This window comes from Homo sapiens, chromosome 12, assembly GCF_000001405.40.
Source record: "Homo sapiens chromosome 12, GRCh38.p14 Primary Assembly".
Lineage (NCBI taxonomy): Eukaryota > Metazoa > Chordata > Mammalia > Primates > Hominidae > Homo > Homo sapiens.
Window position 1 is genome coordinate 20,006,634 of NC_000012.12, and position 15,361 is coordinate 20,021,994.

Sequence of the window (15,361 nt, forward strand, 5' to 3'; positions counted from 1 at the left end):
ACAGTAACTCAATTCAGAAAAAATATTTTAACCCTTACAGCCTCATGGCTGTTACATATTGTTATGTATGACTGATATAAACTGTTAAATTTGATATACACATATGATAGGGTTATAAGTAAAATAATTTTAAGCTTAAAACATATTAAATAAATTTGTTGAGGTTGAACAGAAGTATCAAGAACTAGTTTGAGATCAAAAAGAAAAATGCAACACTTCTGACTGTTAAAGAAAAATTATTCCTGTGTTTTTAAATGGATAATTGGTATCAAATCACTGTGAAATAATTCAGAGGAAACAAGAAATCAGTTGTGTGGAAACAACACGTGCTTTGGGACTTCAGTAAAAATTTGAGAGTTCCTTAGCACAAGGGCTGCCTCTTACTCAACTTTATGTTCTCATGCCTAGCAAAGGGTCTGATTCAAATTGTAGAAAACATTTAAAAAACCTCTCCTCATGAGCATCATCTGTTTCCTACCGCTCAAGTCTGGTCAGCCTGCCAGTGCTAGACAACTGTGTCAGGAGACCACTGCCATGCCTGAGCTCAATCTGTTCCTTCAACCTGCAGCCCTGGAAACTTGATCTTCTATGAACCTTGTCACTGATTTTTTTATTTCTTTGATTTTTCTCCAATAGCATTATTTGCAATGTTGTGCAAAACCCAAAACCAAACCCAAACCCTCGCTTTAAGTGCTTGCTAGATAAGTGAAAATGGATAAGTAAAAATAAAAAGTGCATAAAGGAATGAATAAATGACAAACATAAGAATCTTTAAAGGAATGTATTAAAATGATATTTTCATAACTCAGCCTTAAGCTGGTTTATGAAACATATAAGTCATCCCAGAGCCGGCTTTTTAAAAATCCTGTGGTTTTATGTTGCATGGTTTCTATCGTGTCTCACTGTTGTAAAGACTGCATTTCAGAAGAGGCTAGATCACGCAACTCCAATTTAGTTTTACAAAATTAATGCAATTAGGGTGAGGAGAGCGATGCTGAGGCTATAAAATGAATTTAAAACATTTTTTTTTTAACTAGGAAAAAATTTCCAAGATCTGTTTAACAACTACAACAAAAATCACATACGAGGTGGGAGAGTGAAAATAATCACTAGTTTATATTTTATCGTTCAGTGGTTGATTAAAACCATGTTTTGCTGAAATTTGTATTTGCTTAACAGAGAACCATGCATGCTGTTGTAATAAGTTTGTTTTTACTTGCTACCAAAATATTAGTATTAATTTGGAAAAAAAATTAAAAAATATTTCAAGTGTACCATATAATACAGTACAGCACATACAATAGTCACAGAAATGAGATGAAGGAAATCAGTCTCTTGTAGCAATCAGGGAAATCAAGACTAATCAGGTGGAACTACTTTATTTCATTTACTTTTTCAGGGCTATTATATTAGAAAATAAATGGCAAGAGAAGAATTGATAGGACCATCAAGATTAGCCAATTTTCTTAGTAAAATAATTGTACACAGAATGATCCATAAAACATTGATTTAAGAATAAATATCTATATAGGAATTTTAAAATTAAAAAACTATGCCCTATGAGATTATTATAATAAAATCTGTAATCTTTGGGAAATCTAAAGAAGAAAAAGTACTTCAATCTGGAACAAGAGAAAAGGAAATGTTGGCTTTGGGTACTCTGTACAAATTGAATGCAAAACCATTAACTTTCATCAGTAGAAGATTCTATTTCACTATATTTCATTGGGATCAAAGGTATATGCAAACCTTAGTTATTTGTGTCAAAGACGGTTTGTGAGAAGATTTTAAATGTAATGATGATGCTGGTCAAACTTAGAAACCTTGGAAAAATTGTTAAGTCAGTGATATTTATTTTTGGGAGCTGGTCACAATCCCAAAAGACACAATCCTGAATGCCATAATTCCAAATTTTCAAATCCTGAAAGATCAAAATGCTGAAAATATAATTCTGGAAAAAATAATTTAAAAATTCCTTAAAAGAGACTGGCTTAACTTTTTTTTTCCTTAGAGACAGGGTCTTCCTCTTTGCCTAAGCTGGAGCGCATTGGTGTGATCATCGCTCACTGCTGCCTCAAACTCCTGGGCTCATGCGACCCTCCCACCTCAGCCTCCTGACTAGTTGGGACTACAGGTGTGTGCCACTACATTGGCTAGCTGTTTACTTACATTTTTCAAAGGACATTTATATAAGAAACATATGAAAACACAATAGAACACTTAAATAGTCTACTTGACACAACGAAATAGACACTAATAATACGTGTATTTTTGTAAGCATAAACAGGTATACTAATGACAGTCACACAGGCATAACTTTTATGAACAGACAAACCGTATTTATAAACACATAGGTCAAAAACTGAAATGTATAAATGCATATCACAATGGTTGGTAATTGTGTGCACTCAGCTTTGTAACTGCAAGTCATCCGAAATACTGCGATGAACACCTGAGACTTTTGACAAGATTGATCAAAAACCACTATGGGTTACAACTACATTATCACCACACCAGTTGCTTAAAGAGCCAAGATCTTGAGAAATTTTACCTTTTACAAATGCAGATGTACAAAAAGGACATCTCTTCATTTATTATGGAAATTTTAATCTTTTTATGTACATGCACAATGCTTACACACAGTCAAGATTGTGATAATGCATTTTTATGGAGGCAAATTTCTAAAAAAAGTACATAAATCAGAACTCTATAAAAGTCTACACAATTTATACCTCCAGTATTGGAAATGATGCAAAGATGAAATACATAGCATAGTAAATTATAAAAAAAAATGCTGACAATTTGAAATAGTGGGGAAAAACTAAAAGAAGAAAAAAACTAAAAAGAAATTTTGACATATGAAAAGTATATTACAGGGACAGATTGCATAGAGATAGTCCATAGGAGCTGGCCAACTTTCACCTAGCTAGCAGTTAACTGTATTTTGAAGTCTTACATCACAATGAATATCTGCTTTTTTCTCTTAGGACATGGTTCTCCTTGTATAATATGTTTACATTCATTTTCTGTGTGGTGCTGCTCTTTTTGCAACTCTTCTGATTTGATATACATTGATATTTTGTACAGAATTGGTTCCTTCCAGTGAGTTCTTGGTCTCGCTGACTTCAAGAATGAAGCCACAGACCTGTGCGATGAGTGTTACAGCTCTTAAAGATGGTGTGTCCAGAGTTTGTTCCTTCAGATGTTCAGATGTGTCCGGAGTTTCTTCCTTCTGGTGGGTTTGTCCTCTCGCTAACTTCCAAGAATGAAGCCGTGGACGTTCACAGTGAGTATTAGACCTCCTCAGGTTAGTGTGGACCCAAAGAGTGAGCGGCAGCAAGATTTATTAAGAGCAAAAGAACAAAGCTTCCACAACACGGAAAGGGACCCAAGCTGGTTGCCTCTGCTGGCTCGGGTGGCCAGGTTTTATTCCCTTATTTGGCCCCGCCCACATTCCGCTGACTGGTCCATTTTACACAGTGCTGATTGGTCCATTTTACAGAGTGCTGATTGGTGCATTTTTACAGAGTGCTGATTGGTGTGTTTACAGTCCTTTGGCTAGACACAGAGTGCTGATTGGTGTGTTTTTACAGAGTGCTGATTGGTGCATTTACAATCCTTTAGCTAGACTCAGAGTGCTGATTGGTGCGTTTTTACAGAGTGCTGATTGGTGCGTTTACAATCCTTTAGTTAGATGCAGAGTGCTGATTGGTGCGTTTACAATCCTTTAGCTAGACACAGAGCACTGATTGGTGCGTTTACAGTCCTTTAGCCAGACAGAAAAGTTCTCTAAGTCCCCACTCTACCCAGGAAGTCCAGCTGGCTTCACTTCTCAATATACGCATTCCCTATTTAATTTTCCCATTTTCTTGCGATGCTTCTGTGTTTTGGCTTTGTGGAAATCCATTCTGCATGCAATACAGAACACAAATTTGGCAAAAACAGTACTGGTGATCAAAAAGCAGCACTGTTGCATAAGTGTCTTCTTATCCTACTATGCACATAATTATTTTCAAACTAGTCAGTAACTTAGCTGGCTTCCTCAGGCAAATGCAGCTTTAATTTATTAAAAGCCCTGGAATATCATCAGCTGGAAGGAATGCCAACACAGGTAAATGAGGCATTTTTAAACTGACGTTTTCATTCTTGCCGTGTTGTGCAGGCAATCTACTCATTTGAATTTTTCTCCAAATGCATTGAGCTGAATGGAAAAAAACAAACTTTATTGGTAACACCCTGAAATCCACTCTTGGAAATCTTGATTGCACCTAATTCCAAATCTGTCACTATAGTTGGGGATTCAACTGAAATCCATTTTCTTCTTTATAAAGACAATAACAAGGTAATAGTTCTGCCTAACATGATGTGACTTTCCTGCGATGGTGATTTTCCAAATTTTAAATGTTTAGAATTTTAGATGATAGGGATTTAGATTTTAGAGATTTTGATCTTTTAGGATTTCAACATTCAGGATTATGGCACTCAGTATTGCGTCCTTTGATATTATGATCCAAACCCTTTCGCTTCATAAAAAACTGTGAAACAGCTTTTTCTGTGCATTAAAAAAAAGTTTCAAGGTGGAGTTTCTTACATTAAGAGAATCTTTTTAAAGAAAATGTGTGGTGGAGAAATTTTCGAGGAGGACATCTTTATCTAATCATTTCTAGTAAGCAAACTTTCTCTACTAGGTCAAGATCTAAGCAAACACACAAATGTGAACAACAGGGAAAGAACCCATTGACCTACCAAGACAGGCTGCCAACAGAATTTTGAAGGCTTGCCAAGATGCTTTTATGGAGGTAGAGTGAATGAGATTCCGTAAGTGCAAAATAATCCTTTTAAGACTACCCAGAAAGTAATATAAGTGAACTAGTTATATAAGATTCAGTGAGGACTACCAAAACATTGGGAAGAAATGTGGATTTTATCATTCAAGGAAATATAATTTTATTGTAAGATATAATCTTTGTTTTTGTAGTCAAATAGAAACATTCATGCCTTAATACAACGTTTGGTAAAAAGAACTGAAGAAGACACCATAGAAGATTTTAACAAACAATGAACTCATTAGCTAAAAGATTTGTCATGAAATAATGATTGATTTAGTTGTTTTCTAAAATATTTCTAGTGCCTATTAGATGTTGAAGGAGACTTTGATCATGAAGTGTGTTCTCTGAGGAGCTGCTATTTTTATTTTTATATTTGTTTGAAGTGAATTGTCCTGCTAATTCTTTAACATAAAATATCTTCAATTACATGATTCAACATTTTAAAAAGTGATTAAGACAGAAGAATATGTGCTGGGATTTATTTTTGGATCTTTGAAGTAGCAAAGAGTAGCAGAACTCCTTAATCCATAGAGTGGTTATTTTGCTGTATGATGACTCTTGTATTTACTCCCTGAATTACCCTTTCCACTAAAAAGTATTAATGAGACATTAGTAGGCTATAGAAAAAAATACTTCTGATCTACTTAGAAATATTCATGAGGTTTTCTCCTGGTGGATTCACATCAAATTTTATTTTTTAAAACCCCAAGTATTTTTATTTGATGATTAATAAGTAAGATGGAGGCTGGTAGGTGGAAATCGCCAGCAGGAAAATAAAATGCTTTGGCTAAGCCGACAACTGCTACTGTCCTCCTCTGTACAGACTCTCCTGCTGAAGACTCACGGAGGCTTATTTCAAGTCTTCTTTAGTTCATTACCTGCATGTTCAAATGGAGCTGGTACTGTGACTCACAGCTTTCTGTCCAAGAATGCGATTTGTACCTCTACAAATCTTCTACACCTTCTTCATCTAGTAAACACTTACTCTACAGGTCTCATCTCAAATCTATTACTATATGCAACTATAGTACATAAGCAAGCCATTTAAAAATGTTAAAGGAAGATATGCATTGATATGGGTTGGCTGTTTTCCCACCCAAATCTCATCTTGAATCGTAGCTCCCATAATCCACACGTGTCATGGGAGGGACCCAATGGAAGGTAATTAAATAATCGGGGTGGGTTTTTCCCATGCTGCTCTCATGATAGTAAATAAGTCTCATGAAATCTGATGGTTTCATAATATAAAGGGCAGTTCCCCTGCACATGCTCTCTTGCCTGCCACCATGTAAGATGGGCCTTTGCTCCTCCTTTGCCTTCTGCCATGATTGTGAGGCCTCTCCAGCCATGTGGAACTGTAAGTCCATTAAATCTCTTTTTCTTTATAAATTACCCAGTCTTGGATATCTCTTCATAGGAGTGTGAAAATGGACTAATAGATACATATAGGTACACATACATGTATACATAAAGCCATTCCAAAAGACTTTGCTTCCTGAAGTTTGTAAATGTAAACAAATTTATTGTACCATCATTTAGGTTACTACGTTGCTCACTAACATAGAAACAATATCTAAAATGGGTACTTATAGGGTTATTAAAATATAGTATGAATATGGCTACTGGAAAAAAGTCAAAGATATATTTTGAGGCCACTACTCTACGTCTCTTGATGTTCTCTTGTACACATTTGATATTGCACAAAAGCCAAAAGTTTGGACTCCTTTGATTAAAGGCAAGGTCAAGTAATCCTGCTGGTTCTACCTCTCCTCCCATTTCTTAAATGAAAGGATGTAGTCATATAAGGTGCTGTTTAGTAAAATGGTGCCGTGAATTCAGCATGAAATGTCTGGGCAAGTGTTTTTCAAGTTGTCACATATATACTATATTTATCTTCCTCCTTTTCCCTCCTCAACCTCAGTCCCCATCACCCAGTGTTTCATAAGGTTTTACTTTCTGTAGCTTATACTGTAAAACCAGGAGTTCCCTTCCTCCTCTCCCAAATATAACCTTTTCTAATAATATTAATTGCACTTTCCCTAACTATACATACCTCCCTGGAGATTTTGAACTGTAATTCTTTCTCTCCTCCATTTTCCTTGAGCATTTTTCATCTAGTGGAATATTCGGTGGCAAAGCTCTCATTCTGGAAGAAGTTTAGCCATGTAAGCATAGAAGAAATAAGCCAACAATGGTAAACATAGTTAATGCATGTAGTTAAGTCTTCTAAACATGTCACTTGAATGATGTCACATTTTGCTTTTTCAAACTAGGAATCAACAAAATGGAGGAACATTTGAGGTTTGTTAAGAAATTTCCCTTCTTAGCCATAGAACTAAGATATTTTTAAATAAAGAAGATCATAGTGGGCCATAAATGATGTGCCTTTCTAGGATCCCAAAATGTTTTATTGATTGAATTATATAGAGAGATTTAATGGAACCGTGGTTGAAAAATGCTTTTAAAGTCTTTGATCACTGGGATATCAATGGAACAAATGGGTTAAAACATTTTCAGAATTTAATCATTTATCTAGGTAACAGGGTTGGGGGTAAATGGCGGGAGAGAAGGGGAGGGCCGGGGCATTAATGAATAGTACTCCATGTAAAAAGAAGAATTGACTAGTAACATCTGTACTATTTAAATTAACAGGCTGGCATATATTGTTGTGCAGGTTTTGCATTGCCCAATTCTTGGGGGGGGCGGCATTCACATTTGTAGTCATTATGGGTTCCTCTATTTATAATGCCAATTTTCTAGCAGATGTTGGTTTATTGCCTTGAGAAACTGTTAGATTCCTCTAATTTTTGCAAAGATGGCTTTGGGAAGTTGAAAGATTACCTGATTACTATTAGAGAATCCTGCTACCAATACATACTTGTCTTGTATAATTTGGGCAAAATATAATATTCCTGAATCTTAGATTCCTTGTTTGTAAAATGTTTAAAATATATCTAAATGTAAGAATTGTTGTAGCATATATATGTGAGTACATGAATGTGGCCGTCACAGCAGCTGTAAGTGGAAGATATTATAAATATTGTTAAAACCTTCTGATGTTTTATTTTAAGCTGATAGTTTTTCTTTATGCTGACTTTACAGTGAGTTTTAAACATACACTTGAGTTTATCATTTGTATATAACTACTGATAGAAATCTGATGAAAAACACTAATAGTAGTTTATAAAAGATTTTTTTCAATATGAACTTTTTGTTTCCATTGTGAGAAATTAAATTTCAAAATGTAATTATTAAATGTATGCCTGACTTTCAAATGTTTTTCTATATCCAGCTAATTAAAAATATTTATAACGTAGTAGTAGTTAAATGTCATGTTCGCCTTATTAGAAAGAATGCCTTCAAATCAGTATTATCATGATTACCATTTATTTAACATCTTCAGTATGCAGGGCATTTATAAAATCTGTAGAAATTAATTTTCTCTAAATGCAACAAGCTTTATGACCAGCACTCACTGTCTATAAAAGATGACTTGCTTGGCAGAAGAGGAAACAGTTTCTTCAGACCTTCCAGCCACAGTCAGCCCTGGTGACATTGCATATCAGGTAAACCCCCAATCCCTGGCCACATTTGATTGGTCCAAGATGGAATGTGACCCAGGCTGAGACAATCAGACTCAGTCTCTTGATAATTTAAATTCAGAGCCCCAGTGACTGAATTAGACAATAATGGATATTCTACCTATAAGTTAGAGAGAGTTGGAGACAGGAAACTCAACTCACTTGAAAGCTGCTATTATGGAGAAACGAAAAAAACTGCTTTGTAGAAGATAGCCTGGAAAAGTAGAGAAGTTGTCTGAGAGAGGGACAAATCAGCTTTAAAAGTGTTTCATTTTTTTTGTTAGGGCCTAAATATACTTTCTGTATTTGATAACTCTAAGATAACCTTGTATTCTCTTCTCAATTCCCCCTTCCACTTGAACTTGAATGGTGGATTTCTATTACTTTCAAATGAAAAATACTTAAGATATTTGTCTTGTTTCAAGGAAGATTTAATACAGTTATTTCCCGAACAACAACAACAAAAGCCTTTTGTTGAGCCACTGTCCTTCCAGTGAGACACACACACACACACACACACACACACACACACACACACACACACACACACACACAGTCTTTACAGATCTGTTGAAGAGGATCATGGAGGCAGGTACCGCTTTCTTTTCCTTTATTTTTTTTTTTTATTTTTTTATTTTTTGAGACGGAGTCTCGCTTTCTCGCCCAGGCTGGAGTGCAGTGGCACAATCTCGGCTCACTGCAAGCTCCATCTCCCATCTTCACACCATTCTCTCTGCCTCAGCCTCCTGAGTAGCGGGGACTACAGGCGCCCGCCACCATGCCTGGCTAATTTTTTGTATTTTTAGTAGAGACGGGGTGTGTTATTCAGGATGGTCTCGATTTCCTGACCTCGTGATCCGCCCGCCTCGACCTCCCAAAGTGCTGGGATTTAGAGGCCTGAGCCACCGCTCCCGGCCCTGGCAGGTACCACTTTCTTTCCTCTTTCTTGCATGCGAATATGAATGAAACTGATTGCATCATTTAGGAAATGAACGCTCAGTGAATATCTTTCTAGTGGCTTCTAGTTCTTCCCAACATGCAGTTTGGAAGACCGTTAGGAATAATTTCTAGCCATTTTAGATGCATGTGATTTCCGCTGGATAAGGAACTAGAAAATAGGAAGATGGTGCCATTTTCCCAGAGGTACCAAGAATAGGTCTTGTGTGGCAGTCTTTATAAGGCACATGATAAAGCTTCATAATTTTGCTGGGTAGAAAAATTAGTATGAAGAATGTCTTTTACATCCATAACAATTGAAAATTTAGAACTGATAATTCTCTTCTGGATTATATTATATTTTGTGGGATTCATTATGTTTTTTCCTTTATTAATTGATGAGGCAAATGGTCAAATCTAGTAGTATAACGCTAAACATTCCAGCACCCTATGGAACCTACCTTGCTATCCTTGTGGGAAATTTCTTAAGGTTAAAAATTTGATTATGGGAATAATAAAATTAGGAAAACTTTTAATAACAAAATTGTAGACAATGGTTCTAGAAGGCTGAATCCTACAAATAAAATAGATCTTGGCACTTCTTGGAATTCATAGAGAAAAACACTGGCTGCCATGATAAATAGTGTAAGATGGTGATGTCATTGTGTATGATCTCTGATCAAAACCATACACTATAAAGGCCATATACTGGGTGATCATTTGATTTTCCTGTGTCTGAGGATACTCATTTGTCCCCTGTAAAACGAAATACGAATTGTGCATGTGGCGGTCATTTAACCTACCACTAAATGCAGCTAATTCTGAATAAAAGAGAGCAGCTGTTTGACAAATGCCCCCAGACTTACTGAGGCAGGAAGAAGGACTTGGGTTATCCAACTGAAATAGTGAACTAGTATTTTCTTGTGGTTTGGGTTATAATATGCTGTGCCTTTATTTCCACAAAACAGCCTCATAGTGTTGAGATTGTTTGCCAATTCCTTTCTAGTAAGCCTCATGGTAATGGCATATTATTTTTAATGGGACTTTCAGGACACCAATCAAATTTTATAAATTATATTTTAATACTTTGGGTTTCTTTGCCTTCATGAAAAGAGAGAGAACCTAAGGAAATTTGGGGAAAAAGTGAAATTTTTCCATTACAAAGGCTATTGAAAGATGAATAAATTTATAAAATGGTTTGAGGAGGTAAAAAAATAACTGATTTAACCACGTTATAACACAAGAAAATGTTGAAGACAGAAACAAGCATGGAACAATTAAGTGGAGAGGGATTCTGTGTACTTCATGAAAACAACGAGAATGTAACTCAGTTTTATAAACAAAAATTAATGCTTTATAGCCATGACCACATAACATCATTTGGTTCCCTAAAAATATTTCAGTATCCCTATCTTGTTAATTCACATTGCAAACTATTACTAACTTAACTATGTTGGGGTAAAATATTGAAATTATAGAGGAATTTTAGCAAAAGGCAATATTATATCTTCCAAATACAGAATAATTCACATTCCTATAACAGGGCCCCTAATAATTAGAAGTCCTGACAGACCTTCAGTAAAGACCAAGAAATGATCAACCATAGTAAGAATCATATTTATAGGCAAACAATGCTTCTTAAAGTACTTGATCACAATTTGTCTATTTAAGTAGTTTAATCAAAACCCTATATTTATGCAGTCTTGTTCAAAACTGTGATTTGCATAATCAAACATTGTATAGAGTATAAAGTTAAGCATAAATTCATACCATATAAAGTTTCAATTAGTGGAGTTAAATTATTGGGGCATTGTATTAGGTCAGTCCAAGCCAACAGGCAGAAGAAATAATTGTCAAGGAGAAAGAAAAAAGATAACTTGTTGATTTGTTCAAGGTCATTGAGTAGGTTGGTAATTAAGGTTATTCTTGATCTCTGCTTCTGGTTCTCCAAGAGTACTGTTCTGACCCATCATCACCATAAAGCCACCCTGTAGTTGACCTCACCCTACAGTTGAGCAATCCTTTTGCTCTCCATAAATATAGAATGCTGATTGTAATTTCCTACTAGATATATTAAGAGATCAATTTTATTTCAGTTTTTCTAGCTCCACAAGTATATTTGAATACTACAGATGTATATTCCTCCTGATAATCACTAGGGGTAGAGAATATATCAAATTACAATAATTAAAGATTTAGATGTTAAAAGTTGGGGGTATTGATAAGAGGGAGAGAATATACTCTGATTTTTAAAAAGAGAAAAAATGAAAGAGATATAAGGAAAGGAAAAAAGAGAGAAAGCAAGCAAGTAATCAAGCACAAAGTCATGACAAAGAGTGAAAATAAATTTATTTTGCTGGTTAAAAATTAACAGGTATCATAAAACCAATGACAGTCTTCTTTGATAATGTATCAACTCAAACCCAATAAAAGTAGTTGACCAGGTCATGCTTCTGCTTTTTTTTTTTTTTTTTTTTTTGCCCTTTTATGTAATGTCATTCTTTCATTGTGATGGTGTTACCCAAAGTTGAAAAAAATTTATGGCTAAATAAACTAATTAATGTTAACCACCATTTTGTCATGTGAAGGGTGAGGATTGTAAATAAACATCAAAAGGAGTAATTGTTCTTTAGATGACGTCTGTTTATAATAGGAGGCATGAGTTATGCAATGCATCTCAAATAAAAGATGTTTTATTACCATCATTGCACGTTACCTGAGTTACTTATATGACCAATGTAAAGTTAGATAAGTGGAGAGAAATAGTCCACACTGGGGATGGGGACGGTGGCTCACTCCTGTAATCCCAGCACTTTGGGAGGCTGAGGCAGGTAGATCACTTGAGGTCAGGAGTTCAAGACCAGCTTGGCCAACATGGTGAAGCCCCATCTCTACTAAAAATACAAAAATTATCCAGGCGTGGTAGTGGGTGCCTGTAATCCCAGCTACTCAGGAGGCTGAGGAAGGAGAATTGCTTGAACCCAGGAGGCAAAGGTTGCAGTGAGCCAAGATCGCTCCGCTGCACTCCAGCCTGGACAACAGAGCGAGACTCCATCTCAAAAACAAACAAACAAACAAAAACAGATAGTCCATAGTCCACAATGGGTCTTAGAGGATAATGCATTCTGAGCTACCATTTCAAATTAAAAAAAATTGTTAACTTGTTTCCAAAGACACTGATCTGTGTTTGACTACAGCCAAAAATGCCAGCATGATGCCAGGTATAACCAGGATTTAGAATAAAACTAAAAACATGTACACACACACACTCGTAACGAGGGAATTATATAGAAAATTCATATAGTCACTTCTAACTTGAGTATTGTATGACATTGCTAAAATTTTAAAGAATATGTTTACTTATTTTTTACTGTTAATCTTGCTAGATAATTGGCAAGATAATAATATTTTTAATTTGAATATATGTCATTAAACATAACATTTCCAGAAACTTGTTAAGGAAAGAAGATAAGTATAAATGTTTATGGCATGTAAGACAGTGACTCTAAGGTTAATAGGCAAATCAAGTTGCTGTAGGAAAGGAGAATATTAAATTTGTTTTGTTTAAACCACTAAATTGGTGGTAATTTGTTACAGCAGCAAAGATAACTAATATATATCTCATAACATTCTTCATCCTCACTTTTTCCAGCTTCTAAAGGGCCTCGCACATTCCTTGGCTTGTGATGTCCCTTCCCCATCATCAAAGACAGCAACGTGAGTTAAGTCCTTACCATATCACATAACCCTGAACTTACTTCTGTCATTACATCTATTTCTCTGACTCTGTTCTTCTGCCTCTCTCTTCTACTTTTGAGCGTCCTTGTGAATACATACCCAGAATAATCTCCCTATTTTAAGGAGAAATCTTGATTCCATCTGCTACCTTAATTTCCCTTTGCCATATACTGTAACATATTCACAAGCCCTGGGGATTAGAATGTGGACATCTTTAGGAAGTCATTGTTCTGCCTACCACAGATACATTGGGCAAATAGTTACCAAAGAAAGCTGGTATAGTAATAGTAATACCTGGCAAAATTGTGTTTAAATCAAAATATATTAGTAAGGAAAGGGAGAAACTGCAAAATGATAAAATCTACCAAGAAGATATACAATGTAATTGTCAATAAGAAGTAAAGCCAAGACTTGGAGCTAGGTTTGTGTCTACTGGTTCAATGTTCCTACCAACAAAAACCTCTAAAGAACACAGACCTATAAAAACCTCTACTTGAAGCCCACTGTGCAAGTACTGGTAAATTTCTTGCCCAAAATGAAAATAATAATTATAACCTGCACCATAGGGCTATTGTAAAAAATACCTTAGGATTGAGACACACTGCAGCTATCATATAAACGTTAAATAAAAATAATGCTTCCTGTATCCTTACTAGGGTTGGGCAAATCCAGATGTATATTATACTTTTCACATATTTCAAAATATTTTCAAATGTTTTGGTTTGGGTTCAACAAAAACCTCAAGTACAAAAAAAAAAAAATAGAAAGGAGAATATTTTTTGAGTCGGAGTCTTGCTCTGTCACCCAGGCTGGAGTGCAGTGGCGCCATCTCAGCTCACTGCAAGCTCCATCTCCCGGGTTCATGCCATTCTCCTGCCTCAGCCTCCCAAGTAGCTGGGACTACAGGTGCCCGCCACCACACCCAGCCAATTTTTTGTATTTTTAGTAGAGACAGGGTTTCACCGTGTTAGCCAGGATGGTCTCGATCTCCTGACCTCGTGATCTGCCCACCTCGGCCTCCCAAAGTGCTGAGATTACGGGCATGAGCCACCGCGCCCGGCTGAAACTATACATATATTTTTAAAGAACTAGAAAAACAAGCTGAAGCTAGCCACTGTATTTAAAGCTATTTATTCCTTTCACTGGTGGCTATCACATTATTTACATTTTTCCCTTTGTTGCAAACTTACAAATTCATATTGTTCCCTTTTTTAGTATATTTTATGTACTAACTTTCTTAGTCATTTAAAAAGTTTTTTTCTGATAATATAATAGTGATATCTTTATTATCAATTAATGGAATATATGATGCTAATTGATTTTTCAGGCAGTTGACAGAACAGCAAGTTATAAATATTTTAACCATTTGAGGAGTATTCTTCCTAAAATCTAGTACATAGTTCCCTACTGAAAAGGATATACTGATAAAATATAACTTTTGTCATGTGGGCCAAAAAGATTATGAAGTTGCAATAGTCTATTTTGTTGTCATTTGACTTTTGGAGTTTTATTTAGCTTTCAGTTTTGTGTCATATCTACATACATAGGTGGATATTCCATCAAGGGCAGGGATTAGTACTCTGAGTTCAGCATGGTGCTCTGCACATAGTAAGTGGGTGGTAAATATTTGTGAGTTATATATTATGAGCTAAATTGTGTCTCCTGAAATTCATATGTTGAAATCTTAACCCCCAGTACCACAAAATGTGACTGTATTTGGAAATAGGGTCTTTAAAGAGGTAATTAAGTTAAAAAGAGGTCATTAAGGTGGGCTCTAATCCAGTATGACTGGTGCCCTCATAAAAAGAGGAAATTTGGACACAGACACATACAGAAGGAAGATGATCTGAAGACTCAGGGAAAAGGTGGTCATTGCTCTTTGATCTCAACCTTCTAGCCTCCAGAACCAGGAGAACAAAATTTCTGTTGTTTAAATCAATCACCCAATCTGTGACGCTTTGTTATGACAACCCCCTAGAAAGTACTGATAAATGATAATCCTATGTTGCCCTATGAGAGAACAAAGTTTGCCAACAGAACCTTATGCTTTTATTATTCTTATGTCTTCCTTCCTTCCTTCCTTTCTTTTTTGTCTTGTGCCTTCTTCGTAGGTCTCAAAGTATCAACTATGAACTATTACTTAAAAGTGCTTGAATACTAGAATATTCACTTGATACAAATAATTAAAACTCTCAAAGCCTTTGTGGTTGTTTTTATTTCTGCATTTCAAGTTGTATTTTGAGCTTTTTTTTTTTGGAAAGATTCTGCGTAACTGGA

At 35.5% G+C, this 15,361-nt stretch overlaps 1 long non-coding RNA gene across 1 annotated transcript in view; it reads left to right on the top strand.

Moving 5' to 3' along the window:
- Positions 1-8,051: 8,051 nt before the first annotated feature.
- The window catches only part of LINC02398 (long intergenic non-protein coding RNA 2398), an 84,184-nt gene continuing 76,874 nt past the window's right edge, over positions 8,052-15,361 (top strand). The window contains exons 1-2 of the long non-coding RNA NR_040098.1: positions 8,052-8,395; positions 12,999-13,063. This is a non-coding gene — a long non-coding RNA (long intergenic non-protein coding RNA 2398). The remainder of the gene's footprint in view (positions 8,396-12,998; positions 13,064-15,361) is intronic.